General features: G+C 37.7%; 1 long non-coding RNA gene across 1 annotated transcript; it reads right to left on the bottom strand.

Moving 5' to 3' along the window:
- Window positions 1-1,234: 1,234 nt before the first annotated feature.
- Window positions 1,235-2,443, bottom strand: XLOC_007697 (uncharacterized LOC105500239). The gene is made up of 2 exons (NR_131213.1): window positions 2,416-2,443; window positions 1,235-1,456 (listed from the first exon to the last, which is right to left on the bottom strand). It is a non-coding gene; the product is annotated as an uncharacterized LOC105500239 (long non-coding RNA).
- Window positions 2,444-15,844: the final 13,401 nt, after the last annotated feature.

Below are 15,844 nucleotides of genomic sequence, written 5' to 3'. Positions count from 1 at the left end.
TTGAAGTTTTGTTCTATGAAAAACATAAATGGTGGTTCAGCTGGCAGCATCCTCAGTAACACTCTTGATATTTTCTATCCTCTAATTTTCTCCATCTGTTTGAGAGAACACACTTTGGGTTATCTAGGGCCTATGCCAAAGGAGGCATTGTGGATAAGTGTGACTCAGCCCTCCTCAACAAAAAATTACCTTTCAATACAGGGCAGAAGCTTATGATATTAAAACTCATGTGGTTCCTCGAGAATCTCCTCAATACACTTTCCTCGTGAGCCAGGGGTGAGGGTAACTGGCAAAGCAATCAGGTCTTGGCGCCAACAAAATCCCATTTCATCCCTGAAATACAAGGCCCATCAGGACGTGACATCTGTCTGTATTACTTCCTACTGTATAATCCCCAGTAACTAGAACAAAGCAGTTAAACAATATTCAACAGTCAGAAATATATTTATCATATGCTGCTAAAAATACCCTCCATTTTCTAGCTCTCTAATCAGTTAACATGTGCACATTTAAACTACATCACAGCATTGAATTTGTTCTATCTGTCTGTATGGACACAATTGTGCTGCTGACAATTTAGTCAAGTGTTTCATCTCTATGTAGACAACCATCATGTAAGAATTAATGAGAATTTCCTAACATCATGGTGGCAACTGGCAGCTATTGTTCTGAAAATTTCTAGCTCTGAAAAATTTTAGGCCAACATGTTTACAGTAATGTTTTAGTTTAAAGAGCTTGGAAATGGGGTTTCCTGGAATATATTGGAATAAACCATGTATTTTATTCCCAGTTTTGGGAGACATCTGCTTTCCTTATGTTCCCCAGGCTACCACCATCCAAAAGCAGAAAAGCCATTTAGGGAACCAAGAGTTTTAGTCAAGCTATTTAACTGTCATCAGAAATAAAGAAAAAAAATCACCTTTACAGCCTTCTGGGTTAATTTTTATAAGGTGGTTTGTCTTCATTCAGTGGAAAAGAATAATCTTAACTTCAGGTCATTGGCAGGTCAATAAAAGCTCTAAAGCTAAATTTTCACCAAAATCTCAGTTGAGATAAGTAATATTTAAGGATTATTTGGAAGAATAGGCTCCACTGATTTCTGTAATAACCAAAGATTTAATACTGGATTAATCCAAACCATCGTATAACTCCATACACAAGCCATATTGTCTGGATTGTCCAAGAAATTGCTTTTAAGAAATTGTCATATACTTATGGTCCAAAACGTGTTTATTATAGTTTTATTGTTGAGGACAATGTCCCCTTTATCGCTTGGTGACTCCAATTAAAGACCCCAATAAACATTGCTCTCAGACTTGATTTTGACAACAAAACCTCTCACATAAAATACTGAAAGTATGAATGTTAGAATTCTTTTTTATTTCCGGGAAGCTGAGATACAAAAATTGAACCAAAATTCAGTGACATAGATCTTTATCATATCTTGCGTGGTCCTCTGAAATAGGAAGAAAACATTAAATTTTAACTTTTGACTTTAGGGTAAAAAATCACTTTTATACAAATCAAAAACAAACAAGAAAAGAACCCCATACAAATTATAGAGATAAAGGCCGAAAAAATTGACCATAATAAAATAAAATTTCTGTGCAACAAGACACTAGGAATAAGTTTGTAAGAAAAGCTAGTGGGAACAAAAAGATATTTACAACATTATTGAAGACATAAAGATTGATATCCAAAATAAAAACCTCTTATTAAAGAGGAAAGAAAAAGTAAATGAAAGTACAAACAGATTAAGAAGAGAAAACAGGGCCGGGCGCCGTGACTCATGCCTGTAATCCCAGCACTCTGGGAGGCTGAGGCAGATGGATCACGAGGTCAGGAGTTTGAGACCAGCCTGGCCAACATGGTGAAACCCCGTCTCTACTAAACATACAAAAATTAGCTGGGTGTGGTGGGGGGCACCTGTAGCCCCAGCTACTCGGGAGGCTGAGGCAGGAGAATCACTTGAACCCAGGAGGCAGAGGTTGCAGTGAGCTGAGATCATGCCACTGCACTCCAGCCTGGGCAACAGAGCAAGATTCCATCTCAAAAAACAGAAAAAAGAGAGAGAGAAAACATTAATGACTAACAAATGTATCTAAAGATTCTCAGACTCGTTAGTAGTCAAAAAAGTGTACATTATAGCAATGATGAGAGTGCAATTCTCTTTATCTGAACTGGTAAACATAAAAAAGTCAGACAAAATCAAGCATTACTGAAGTGACGATAAAGGAGTTATCTGGTGATGCTAGTGGGAAGATACAGTGGCTGTGCGAGGTGATTCTACAACATGACTTACAGGCGAGTACTCATGCGCACCCTCTGCCCCAACAACCTGACAGCTCTTCCCCTGCCATCTTCCATGGTCCACACAAACATGCATGAGTGTGTCCTGGGCAGCTGCACCCTCACCTTTGTGCATCACAGCAGGGTCCACCTGCTCTGAGTCCTTATGACATGACGCTATTCTCGGTGTTCTGATATGTTCCCGACACGTACAATGGCTCCAATCAGCCCTACTGCTGCCTGGAACAAAGAGAAACTTTGGTTATATAGTGAGTATTTGCATAAAGACCATTTTCAAAGAGCAAGAAGACTATAAAAGAAATAAATTTGTGCCTGTATATGGACTCCCTAAAGCTGTCTCTGGCCTCCAGTTTAAAAACATCTAGAATCTAGCCAGGCCCTTGCCTTTCCTTGAAGCACACTTATCTGCCTAGAATTAGGTGTAAATAATTTTGTTCTATTTCCCACCCCACGATTCTGAAGAACTGGCTCAAATGTACCCAAACTCTGGTACACATTTGTCAATGCTGCCTCTTACAGGACAAAAAAAACTGAGTATTTTCTTTCATACCCTCATACACTTTCCACATTGAAAATGTGGGATATTCTGTATTTCCACAAGCAGTTCTTTCTCTCTCCTTTATCTCTCTCCTATTTTTCTTGAAACCCCTACTCTCTCACTCTGTGATTTGTCTAAATATAATAAAGATATAGGTACAAAAAATATTTTACTTTCCTCTTAATTCTACTATGAGAAGAAAGCATCAAGTTCAACGATAAAGGGCAGCTGGTAATTGACCTTAGGTGTAGGGAGAAAGACACTGGTAGGGATGAGGCAAACAAGAAAGTCTGTTTTCCATGTAAAGTGTGGAACAGTTTCTCAGCAATTGCTGAGATCAAGGATAAGCCCTACGGGTTTGGTCAGGAAAGAGGACCCCTATTACTCTGAGAGAATGCAGAAATCCCTCCGTTTTGTTGTTGTTTGTTTTCTCTGAGCCCTTGTGATCTGGCCCCCAAGAATTCCTGTGGTGGCAGCAGTAGGTGGTGCCTAGGAGAAACAAAACACTGAGGCCAGGGCATCTTCCTCTCCAGTTGGTGCAGTAGTGATCCCAAGAGGGTGATGCAAACTTTTTAAAGTCTTTTCTCATTTTGCCACCTGTCACCTGGCTCCAAACATGGGTGCAGCCATGAAACACTGTAGCAGAGTACCGTAATCAAAGACCCAGCATTCTGGCCAGAAAACAGAAAAGAGGAGCTCCAGGGAACCAGAAAATATTGGAGACATTGTGGAGGGGAAGGAGTATGAGAAAGTGACACCATAAAGTTTTTAATGAACTGAGCGCATCCCCAAGCTGCATGTGTGTGGATCTGCTCCTAATTAGTTAACCAAAGATTTTGAGAACGAAGCTAGCAGATTATCATCCGAGTTCCACACTGACCACCAGGACATATCTGAAGAAAACTGGAAAGGCTTTGAAAACTCAACTGATTGTTGGAACCACAGCTCACAAAACACAGATTGGAACTTGCAGCTTGAATATGACAAGGTCAATTGCTTCTAAAACAAAAATAGCATCCATCCGCCTAATATTTTATGAAGATCCAGAGCCTCAAAACTTAATGTCCATGACACAATCCAAAATTACAAAAAAACAGATAAACTGTACCCCACATGAGAAAAGACAGTCAGTACTAAGTAGCTACCAATACTGAGAAGAAAAATAAATTTGAATTACATCACAAGGATTTTAAAGCAGCTTTTATAAAAATGTTCCAACAAGTGGTTGCAAACACTTTTTTTTTTTCTTGAGACCGTGTCTCACTCTGTCACCCAGGCTACAGTGCAGTGGTGCAATCTAGGCTCACTGCAACCTCAGCCTCCCGGGTTCAAACGATTCTCCTGCCTCAGCCTCCCAAGTAGCTGGAACTACAGGCATGCGCCACCACATCCAGCTAATTTTTGTATTTTTAGTAGAGAAGGGGTTTCACCATGTTGGCCAGATGGTCTCGATCTCTTGACCTCATGATCTGCCTGCCTCGGCCTCCCAAAGTGCTGGGATTACAGGCGTGAGCCACCATGCCCGGTCGCAAACACTTTTATACCAATGGAAAACTAGAAGTATCAGAAAATAAATAGAAGATGTAAAAAGGAACAAAATGAATATATTAGGACCAAAAAATCCAATAACTGACATACAAAATTCTAAGTAAGCTTTTTATTACAATAAAACTAAAGAGGTAAGAATCTGTTATTGTGAATATAAATCAACAGAAATTATCTAATCTGAACAATAGAGAGAAAGAAAGATGAAAAAGTCTCGATTAGAGCCTTAGAGACTTGAGGAACAATAATTAAAGTTCCAACATACATGTCATCTGAGTCTCAGAAGGAGAAAAGGAAAAGGAATGCAGTGCTGAAAGAATTTTGAAAACCTAACAGGAAAAATTACCCAAATTTGGCAAAAGGCAAACATTAATTGAACTAAAAGAAGAAATCAACAAATGTACAATTATGATTAGATAATTCAACACTCCTCTCTCGCTAATAATTAGTGAACATTTGAAATTAATTGATGGTAAGTTTGATTAATTCTGAGATTTTTAGCAGTATTGTTTATCACATATAATTAACAGATCATTTCTGTATAGCAAACAAAAATGCATTCTGAGCCACATGTAATAGTTCATCACACAAAATGTTGAGTTAATGCCAGTCAGAATGTCTCTCTTCTTCCAGTACAGGGATTACAAAATAATGACAAGACCTAAGGTCATGTATGCAGTGATGCACTAAGTACCTTAAATAATAGGACATGAGATTGCAAGCACAATGCAGTCACTATGAATGAGAAAATTATGTAAGAGCTCAAGTTCATGTGCTGAGGAGGCTTCTGAGAAGCCTTAAAGGATATCTGACCAATTCAGCTGTTACTGGGTTAGACTATTAATTGTCTTATTGCCTTAACTCTCATCAAAAAAAGACTGTTCTGCAGGCTTTTTTTACTGTGGGCAAGTGATTAACAACACTCCAGCTAGAAAATTCTTCCTGATGTCTGTCCTGAGTCTCTCCTGATCTAACAAGCAAGGGTATACAAGAACTTATCAGTTCCATCATCAATTACAAAAAAAAATTAAGTTGTCATAAGCATAGTATACGATTTAACGATTTACTAAAATGCAATGGTAGTCAAGCTATCAGAGGATGGAGGAACCTCCATTTCACCATCTGGTTGTTCCTCTTTGTTCCCTTTAGGTGAGTCTGAGCCAAAAGACCCAACACTAATCACAATGCTTTGTCCATTTCAGTAGGCATAATTCCTTACAACAACAAATAAAATAATCCCTAAGCATTTATTTCATAAAATAAATGTATTAGATATTTTGGCCTCACAAAAATAAGAGATAGAGTCTACTCAAAACAGTGTTTTGTTTATCATTTTCATAAATTTCAAATTAGAATGTAAAGTTTATCATATCTCTTCCATTTGTTAGGATAGTGTTAGTAACATTTATAAAATCATTTTCTTTCTCCTGTATTTATTTGACATAAAATGTGTCATTCTCTGAGAATATAAGATGAAATCATTCCACAGAAGAATTACTTATATGCAGAGTTATTTATGTGTAATAGTACTCCATAAATTCCCTTTGAGGGCCTTTTTCCATTCAGCAAGAAGAATGTCTTGATGGTAGGCAAAATTGTACGTAAGTTAAAAGTATGAAATTTGAATCAAGCTCTGCCATTGAATTGTCACGTGAACCTGGAACAACATAACCTCTCCCTGCCTTAGTTTCTCTATTTATATAATGGTAAGTATAATAAAACTATACTTCAAGGGCTTTTGCAAGCACTATATGAACCAATAGATCTAACACATTTAGAACGGTAACTTGATATTTTAGGCACCTTGTAAGTTATTGTTATTATCTGCAATTGTATCTACCCAAAAGCTAGAATCCCTCTTCTTGGCCCCCACATTCCTATGACATGTCTATAAATATCTTGTAAATATATTTATTCATTTTATGCATGCATTTACTTGTATTCTGAATGCCTTTACATGTGCCAGGCATTGTCTAGGTGTTGGAGAAACTAAGACTGATTCAAAGGAGATATTTACTTAAAAGAAATAGCTGTAATGGGTATAATTTGCAGACGGGGAGAACCCTGTGAAAAAGAGAGTAATTAGAAAACTTCATTTTGAATATAAAGAGAAAAAACTTTTCTGAGTTCATAAAAGAATTATTGATATCATCAACAATAAAGAGCATATGCTAACATTTATATTTCCTAACTATTCTACATACCTATATTTATATAGATTTCAGCTAACAACTGGGCCTTGGTTCTACTATGACGTGTTGCTAAAAGCATTGATTATATAAGTTTGTGTTATATGCAGTGATTGCATGAGATAAAACTTTAAGACAAAAAAATCTGCTCCACAAAATGCCTTGGTCTTCATAGCTTATTCAAGTCATTTATTTTATATTCTGCAGACTGTGGAACATCTGTTTATTAATGCAGCTTTATGATATGTTGTAAATTGCCTTGACATAAAATAGGAAATTGCACATTCGAGCCCAGATTTTCTTTTCATCCCCTTGTGTTCAGCTTGGCAAAAGGCTGATACTGCCAGAAAAAGAAAGAAAACTTTGTTCAAAATTGAAGTTAATACTTTCTTGGAGAAATAACTACTAACTAAAGACAAATACTTGATGAGACTATTTTAATGTATCTATTGTCCTTATTAGGTAGGATATAATTTCTTACTTTAACATGTGATGATTTTATTTCAAAGCCATTTTGACTGAATGACTTTCAAGGTTATTTTGCAAATCATAATAATTTAAATACTTAAGGAAGCTAGTCAAAAATTTGAAATTAATTGATGGTAAGTTTGATTAATTCTGAGACTTTTAGCTGTATCATTTATCACACAGAAGAGAAGATCATTTCTATATAGCAAACAAAAATGCGTTCCGAGCCATATGTAATAGTCCATCACACAAAATGTTGAGTTAATGCCAGTCAGAATGTCTCTCTTCTTCAAGTACAGAGATAACAAAATAATGGCGAGACCCAAGATCGTGTGCGCGGTGATGCACTAAAATACCTTGAATAATAACAGATGGGGCCGGACGCGGTGGCTCACGCCTGTAATCCCAACACTTTGAGAGGCCGAGAAGGGCAGATCACGAAGTCAGGAGATCGAGACCATCCTGGCCAACGTGGTGAAACCCCGTCTCCACTAAAAATACAAAAATTAGCTGGGTGTGGTGGCAGGGGCTTGTAATCCCAGCTACTTGGCAGGCTGAGGCAGGAGAATCGCTTGAACCCAGGAGGCGGAGGCTGCAATGAGCCAAGATCATGCCACTGCAGTCCAGCCTGGAGACAGAGTGAGACTCCGTTTAAAATACTATTACTACTAATAATAATAACACATGAGATTGCAGGCACAATGCAGTCTGTGAATGCGAACATTATGTAAGAGCTCAAGTCCATGTGCTGAGGAAGTCTCTGAGAAGTCTTGAAGGATATCTGGTCAATTCAGCTGTTACTGGGTTAGACTATTAATTGTCTTATTGCCTTAACTCTCATCAAAAAAAGCCTGCTCTGCAGGCTTTTTTACTGTGGGAAAGTGATTAACAACACCCCAGATAGAAAATTCTTCCCAATGTCTGTCTTTAATCTCTCCTGATCTAACATGGCGTATTCCTAGTTCAGCTTCCCTCAATGGAAACAAAGAAGAATTGCTTAAAAGGGAAATTATTCTATGGGTTTTGTTTCCACAACAAAACAGGAGATAATGTGCCCTATTTTGTAAAACAAATCATTTCATCGAAAACTCTCTTCGAAACCTCTACTCAGAGCTATGTTGTTTAGTGACCTCAAGCACCAATAGATGGACATTTCACCCATTCCCTACCACTAATAGTAGCATCAAAATGTCATTTTGTCTTTAAAAACAAATATGTGCTGAAATTAAACCCACTTCTTTGTAGATCTTCTGACTATAAAATTCTGGCTTAGTTGATTCATTTATTCTCTGCCTCTTTCTTTTCCTCCCTCCCTTAGTTCCAGCTGTATTGCTGAGCCCTACGAAGGTGCTGTCCTGGGCTGCTGAGTTCTCCTGAGCTGCAGCAAGGACGGGCCAGACTCAGGGCAGGTACTGCCGAATGACAGTGAGCCCTGCTTTCTGGGGGCTCCCTGTGTAATTAGGTGAGGCTGACTTTAGTCACATTATCACACCAGGGAACTGAGGCTCTCAGGCTGATGGAAAATAGCAGGAGTCTACAGGATGGTTATATAAAGCGGCAGGACTGAAGGGTGAGGGAAGGCTGCCCTGAGATTTAACTGTTGAGCCTTGCAAGACAGGACAAGGACAGGATCAGCATAAAGAGGTGGGTGGAGGGTGGGTAGAGAATTCTAAACCAAGGTCAACAGAGTAGTTTTTGTGAAGAGAGGAAGCAGGGAGTGAATGAACAACTGAAAGAGGGCCCACAAGACTGGGATGCCAAGCAAGGGAGAGGAACAAAGCCTGGTCCCGCACTGGAGGGCACAGTGAACCAGATTCCACTGGCCATGAGTCACTCGTGTAGGTGTCTCTGAGCTAGGAGATGTGTACTAATTCCTAACAGGCAAGAGTTTAGGCCGGCATTGGCCATCAGAGAGGATGAAAGAAAAAATGTGTCTTATTTATGGAGCTAGCATAAGAGGAAGCTAGAGCTTTACTAAATGTGAAAATTTAAGTTGATGTATATTCTACATCCTGAACACCCAGTGACAAACTGATGTTCCGATATCTGTTTATACAGTGTGTGTGTTATCATTACACTGGCAAAATGGATGATATGCTTGCCTTATTTCAAATCACTAAGTTTTGTATTATGGTGATATACTCATACTGCTTTCTTATCAACTCAGAAATCCATTATATAAAATCCATTTTTTATGGCCATCTAAATCCTTTATTCAATACCATCAGCCTGGGACATGTTAATATATTTCTGCTAGACATACCACCCAGACTTGAAATGCATAGGACACTAAGCACATAGTGGTAGCAGCATGTTTTCCTTTAATAAAAAGACATTATTTTTGGAGGCAGTTTTACATTTACAAGAAAATTGAGCAGACAATACAGAGAGTTCCTTAAACCCTCCCTAGCTCATCATGCCTATTATTAAGATATCTTGCATTCGTCTGGTATATTTGTTACAATTAACGAGCCAATATTGATACATTATTATTATTAACTAAAATTAACAGTTTCATTAAGGTGTACTGTTTGTGTTGTACATTCTATGGGTTTGGAAAATGTGTAATGTCATATATCCACCATGACATTTTACAGAATGGTTTCACTGCCCTAAAAATCTCCTGTGCTCCACCTATTGATCTCTCCTTCTCCCCGCAAATCCCTGGCAACAACTGTGCTTTTCATGGTCTTCATCGTTCTGCCTTTTAAAGAATGTCATATAGTTCGGCTTACACAGTATGTAGTCTTTTCAGATCGGCTTCTTTCACTTAGCGATGGGAATTTAAGGTTTTTTTTTTTCCATGTCTTCTCATAGTTAAATAGTGTGTACCTTTTTATCACTTAATAACATTCTATTGTATGAGTGTACCAGAGTTTGTTTATCCATTCACTTACTGAAGTTGCTTCCACCTTTGGGCAATTATGAATAAAACTCCTATAAACATCAATGTATAGAGTTTTGTGTTGACCTCAGTTTTCCATGCCTTTGGTTAAATGCCAAGACACAATTACTGGATCTTATGGTGACAGTATACTTAGTTTTGTGAGAAACCACTTCCCTTCCAAAGTGGCTGTATGGGGCTGTATGGGAAATATTTGAATTAACATCCAAATCACACAATCTTTTTGTTACACTTTAAGCATTAAGAGATTCATTGTCATAGTTACCTTGGGAGTTAATTGCTTCTGAGGAGTTGACAAGGGCTCTCGGTAATGTGGTGCATATTAACACAGGTTATATTAATGAATAAACAATGCATGAACTGTGAAATGTAAGACCATGCAGAGTATATTATTAATAAATAATAATGATTATGTACTACGTATTTATCTTTTGACAGAGAGGTGCACAACAAAAACAAATGTTGATATTCTTGAAAATTTTGAAGTCAAGTCTCAACAATTAAATATAAATTTTGTCTTTCCATGTAAGTGATAGACTAATGAATCTACAGATTTGCAAGTTTATAAGCTGAAGTGAATGAGTGCCTCCTTCTGAAAATTATTATTGGGCTTATGAGTTTATAAGTGCATGCATTTCACCCTGGTTGGCCTAAGCTGGCAATTTCCTCCAAGTGGGCATATTAGGAATACCAAATGTCATGAACAGACTGCAAAGAGAGAGAGGAAGGGAACATTTAGCTTCTGACAGCTGAACACAAGAAAAGGGTCCAACCAAGTTTCCTGGGAAAGCTGCAGGTTACAAATATCAGATGACCAATACATAACTTCTCTTGTTTATTTTAATTCTTCTGTTTTAATAGACAATATTTCATTTTGACATTTTAAGGAACATTTCTGTGTCTCTGTTCTAGCCCCTGATGTTACCTTTGGAGACTAGGAGGAAGAGAGAGGGAATAATTAATATATTTATAAGAACATATTTTTGAGTAAGAAGAATATGCATGAGTTAACATTTATTAATATATTTTTATTAATCAAAATATATTCACAAGAAATTATTTATATTTAAGAATATACTCAATAACATATATGTAAAATATGTTATTCAGGAGTGCATTCTTAATTCACATGTTCTTTGTGCCACATGTGTCCACTGATCTCTGTGGAAGATTCATAAAAACGATATGTAAGGTATCCAAATTGCTGAAAACCACAGACAGTGAGAAAAATCTTGAAGGCACCTAGAGGAAAAATTAAGCATTTACATCAAGCATTTATCAATGAGAAGAATATATTCATCGGAAGAATCGTATTAGTCCGTTCTCACGCTGCTAATAAAGGCATACCCGAGACTCGGTAATTTGTAAAAGGGAGGTTTAATTGACTCACAGTTCAGCATGGCTGGGGAGGCCTCAGGAAACTTAAAATCATGGCAGAAGGGGAAGCAAACATGTCCTTCTTCACATGATGGCAGAAAGGAGAAGTGCTGAGCAAATGGGGGAAAAGCCCCTTATAAAACCATCAGTTCTCGTGAGAACTCACTCACCATTATGAGAACAGCAGCATGGAAGTAACCGCCCCCATGATTCAATTACCTCCCAGTGGGTCCTTCCCACAACACCTGGGGATTATGGGAACCACAAGTTAAGATGAGATTTGGGTGGGGACACAGCCAAATCATATCAAGAATATATTTTAAAAATAAATCATTTTATTCAAGAATAAACTCATATAAATATGTTTATCTTTTGCACCATCAGTTTTTCCTTTTTTCTTTTAGCTTCCATCTGTCAAAGCAGAAAGCCAGGTCAGAGATAGACCAGACATCCCTTCACATTTGCTGAGACTATGACACAAGAAAAAAAGTCAACCTTAAATAGCAGAAACAAATTTAACAAAACAGTCATCAGCAAATTGGCCACTCAGCAAAGTGGCTTTGTCAGTGGACCTGGTCGAGAGAGCTAGGACCTGCTGCCACAGAAACTTCCTTGGTCAGGTGAAACAACCCCGAAGCAGAAAGTGTAGGTAGAAAATCAGGACTGAAGCAATTACACATGTTGTAATTGACCTTTCCATCTCCAGGGGATAATGCAGTGAAACCCTGCCACCTTTCCACAGGCTAACTCTCAGAGGAATAAAAAAAAAGTCATGTGCAGGTTGATTTGGGCTCATGAATACTCTTTCATCATTCAACTTTTGATGTTCAAAAGTGTATGTTATTATATTTGTGCACATGTGAAATGAAAGAGAAAGGAGCTTGGACACATGAAAACCAAGGAAAGAAAAACCTAATTTGTTTTACTAATAAAGAATAACAGAAAAAAGGGTAATACCAATTTCACTTGCTTCTATGTCTCTTTTCTATGCCCTCAGGAAGTACAATTTACCACTTTGGGAAGCTTAGGAGGGAGCATCGCTTAAGACCATGAGTTCAAGTCCAGCCTGGGCATCATATAGATGTCTCTTCTAAAAGCACTACTAATGCAATAAAATGTATTCTCGTTGAAAATTACATCTGCAGAGAATAAAACAGGAAAAAAACTGCTGTCTTTTCACACTCAATTGTTTATCTTCTGATCTGATTCATCTTGCCATTGTATGTTGCATATAAGTTGTAATAAACTAAAATTTAACATATTGTGGTACATACACACCGTGGAATAGTGGAATACTATGCAACCATAAAAAAGAACGAGATCATGTCCTTTTCAGGAACATGATGAAGCTGGAGGCCATTATCCTTAGCAAACTAACACAGAAACTGAAAACAAAATACCACATCTTCTCACCTACAAGTGGGAGATAAACGATGAGAACACATGGATACATAGAGGGGAATGACACACACTGGGGCGTACCTGAGAGTGGAGGGTGGGAGGAGGGAAAGGGGTACAAAAAATAACTATTGGTTACTAGGCTTAATACCTGAGTGATGAAATAATCTCTACAACAAACCCCTATGACACGCGTTTACCTATATAACAAACCTGCCCATGTAACCCAAACTTAAAATAAAAGTTTAATATATAAATATATATATAGTGGCATTTTGAACAGACATTTACATATAGGGATGCATGAATACATAGATCAATAGATGTATGTATTCACGGGTTATTATGAATGCAAATATGCATTTAAAAATAGGGTTTCCAGGACTGTGGGAGGCCGAGGCGGGCAGATCACGAGATCAGATCGAGACCATCCTGGCTAACACAGTGAAACCCTGTATCTATAAAAATACAAAAAAAAAAAAATAGCCAGGCATGGTGGTGGGCACTTGTAGTCCCAGCTACTCAGGAGGCTGAGGTAGGAGAACTGCTTGAACCTGGGAGGCAGAGGTTGCAGTGAGCTGAGATCACGCCACTGCACTCCAGCCTGGGTGACAGAGTGAGACTCCATCTCAAAAAAAAAAAAAAAAAAAAAAAAGGATTTCTGGGCATTTTTGGTTGTCGTTTTGTCTGTTTTTTTTTTTTTTGTTTTATTTTTATTTTTATTTATTTATTTATTTATTTTATTATACTTTAAGTTTTAGGGTACCTTCATGCTAAAAACTCTCAATAAATTAGGTATTGATGGGACTTATTTCAAAATAATAAGAGCTATCTATGACAAACCCACAGCCAATATCATACTGAATGGGCAAAAACTGGAAGCATTCCCTTTGAAAACTGGCACAAGACAGGGATGCCCTCTCTCACCACTCCTATTCAACGTAGTGTTGGAAGTTCTGGCCAGGGCGATTAGGCAGGAGAAGGAAATAAAGGGTATTCAGTTAGGAAAAGAGGAAGTCAAATTGTCCCTGTTTGCAGACGACATGATTGTATATCTAGAAAACCCCATTGTCTCAGCCCAAAATCTCCTTAAGATGATAAGCAACTTCAGCAAAGTCTCAGGATACAAAATCAATGTACAAAAATCACAAGCATTCTTATACACCAACAACAGACAAACAGAGAGCCAAATCATGAGTGAACTCCCATTCACAATTGCTTCAAAGAGAATAAAATACCTAGGAATCCAACTTACAAGGCATGTGAAGGACCTCTTCAAGGAGAACTTCAAACCACTGCTCAAGGAAATAAAAGAGGATACAAACAAATGGAAGAACATTCCATGCTCATGGGTAGGAAGAATCAATATCATGAAAATGGCCATACTGCCCAAGGTAATTTACAGATTCAATGCCATCCCCATCAAGCTACCAATGACTTTCTTCACAGAATTGGAAAAAACTACTTTAAAGTTCATATGGAACCAAAAAAGAGCCCGCATTGCCAAGGCAATCCTAAGCCAAAAGAACAAAGCTGGAGGCATCACACTACCTGACTTCAAACTATACTACAAGGCTACAGTAACCAAAACAGCATGGTACCAAAACAGAGATATAGATCAATGGAACAGAACAGAGCCCTCAGAAATAACGCTGCCTATCTACAACTATCTGATCTTTGACAAACCTGAGAAAAACAAGCAATGGGGAAAGGATTCCCTATTTAATAAACGGTGTTGGGAAAACTGGCTAGGCATATGTAGAAAGCTGAAACTGGATCCCTTCCTTACACCTTATACAAAAATCAATTCAAGATGGATTAAAGACTTACACGTTAGACCTAAAACCATAAAATCCCTAGAAGAAAACCTAGGCATTACCATTCAGGACATAGGCATGGGCAAGGACTTCATGTGTAAAACACCAAAAGCAATGGCAACAAAAGACAAAATTGACAAATGGGATCTAATTAAACTAAAGAGCTTCTGCACAGCAAAAGAAACCACCATCAGAGTGAACAGGCAACCTACAAAATGGGAGAAAATTTTTGTGACCTGTTTTGTTTTTATCTATTGACACTAGCAGGAAGGCTTACTTTTTTATAGTAGGTATATATTTCAAACCATAGCCTTAGGTCTTATGACATAGTTAAAGGAAACATCATATAAGAGCTCAGAGATGTAAAATAGAGCCATTTATGATGGTTTTGAGAAACTGTAATGGTACATCTATGTTAATTTTTTATATGTTAATTTAACTTAGGTTTTCTGCGTTTGGAACTGTGTACAGGTAAGATGCTCTAAGCTACCATATAGCAAAATTTAAATGAAAATTACCATTACATTTATTTAGCTCCAAATAATTTAATAACTATTACTGGGTTGTTACTAGAAAGAAAAACAGGTCACTGTAATGTTAACGAAGTAAAGCAGTCCCAATCAAATCTTGCATTGCTCTGACATGTGTTTTGCTAAAGGAGAGGGAGAGGCATTTTGTTGTATTTCCAGCTGGCTTCCTGGGGAAACAGAAAACATTTGGAGAATGTATTCCCCTTTGTTAATTGTGACACATGTGTCCAGTGACCCCGATGAAGAACTCTTAAAGTGACATGGAATGTGTTCAAATTGCTGAAAACCAGAGACAAAGAGAAATCAACACAAAAACTGAAAATCTCTCATTTTTCTCAAAAGAGAAACATCTTGAGGAAGCTAGAGGAAAAAAGACATTATCAAACAAGAAACAAGGTTAAGAATGGATTAAGAATGGTTTCATATCAGAAACCATGCAAGCAAGAAACGAAGTGACACTTTTGAAGTCATAAAAGACTTTTTAAAAACCTATCAACCCAGAATTCTATAACCAATGAAAAATTCATTAAATATTTGTTAATTACTCTGGCGATTTTGAATTAAGGTGAAGTTGAATTCCCCTCATGTGGCTTGCAAGTTAGTCTTGTTTTTGTGGTTTGGGTTTTTGTTTTTGAGATAAGGTCTTCCTCTGTCATCCAGGCCGAAGTGCATTGGCACAATCACAGCTCACTGCAACCCCAACATCCCAGACTCAAGTGATCCTCCCACCTCAGCCTCCCACATTGCTGAGACTACAGGTGCACTCC

This window comes from Homo sapiens, chromosome 9 (assembly GCF_000001405.40).
Source record: "Homo sapiens chromosome 9, GRCh38.p14 Primary Assembly".
Lineage (NCBI taxonomy): Eukaryota > Metazoa > Chordata > Mammalia > Primates > Hominidae > Homo > Homo sapiens.
The sequence above is the reverse complement of the archived record's forward strand: the minus strand, read 5'-3'. Positions and strand labels throughout refer to the sequence as shown.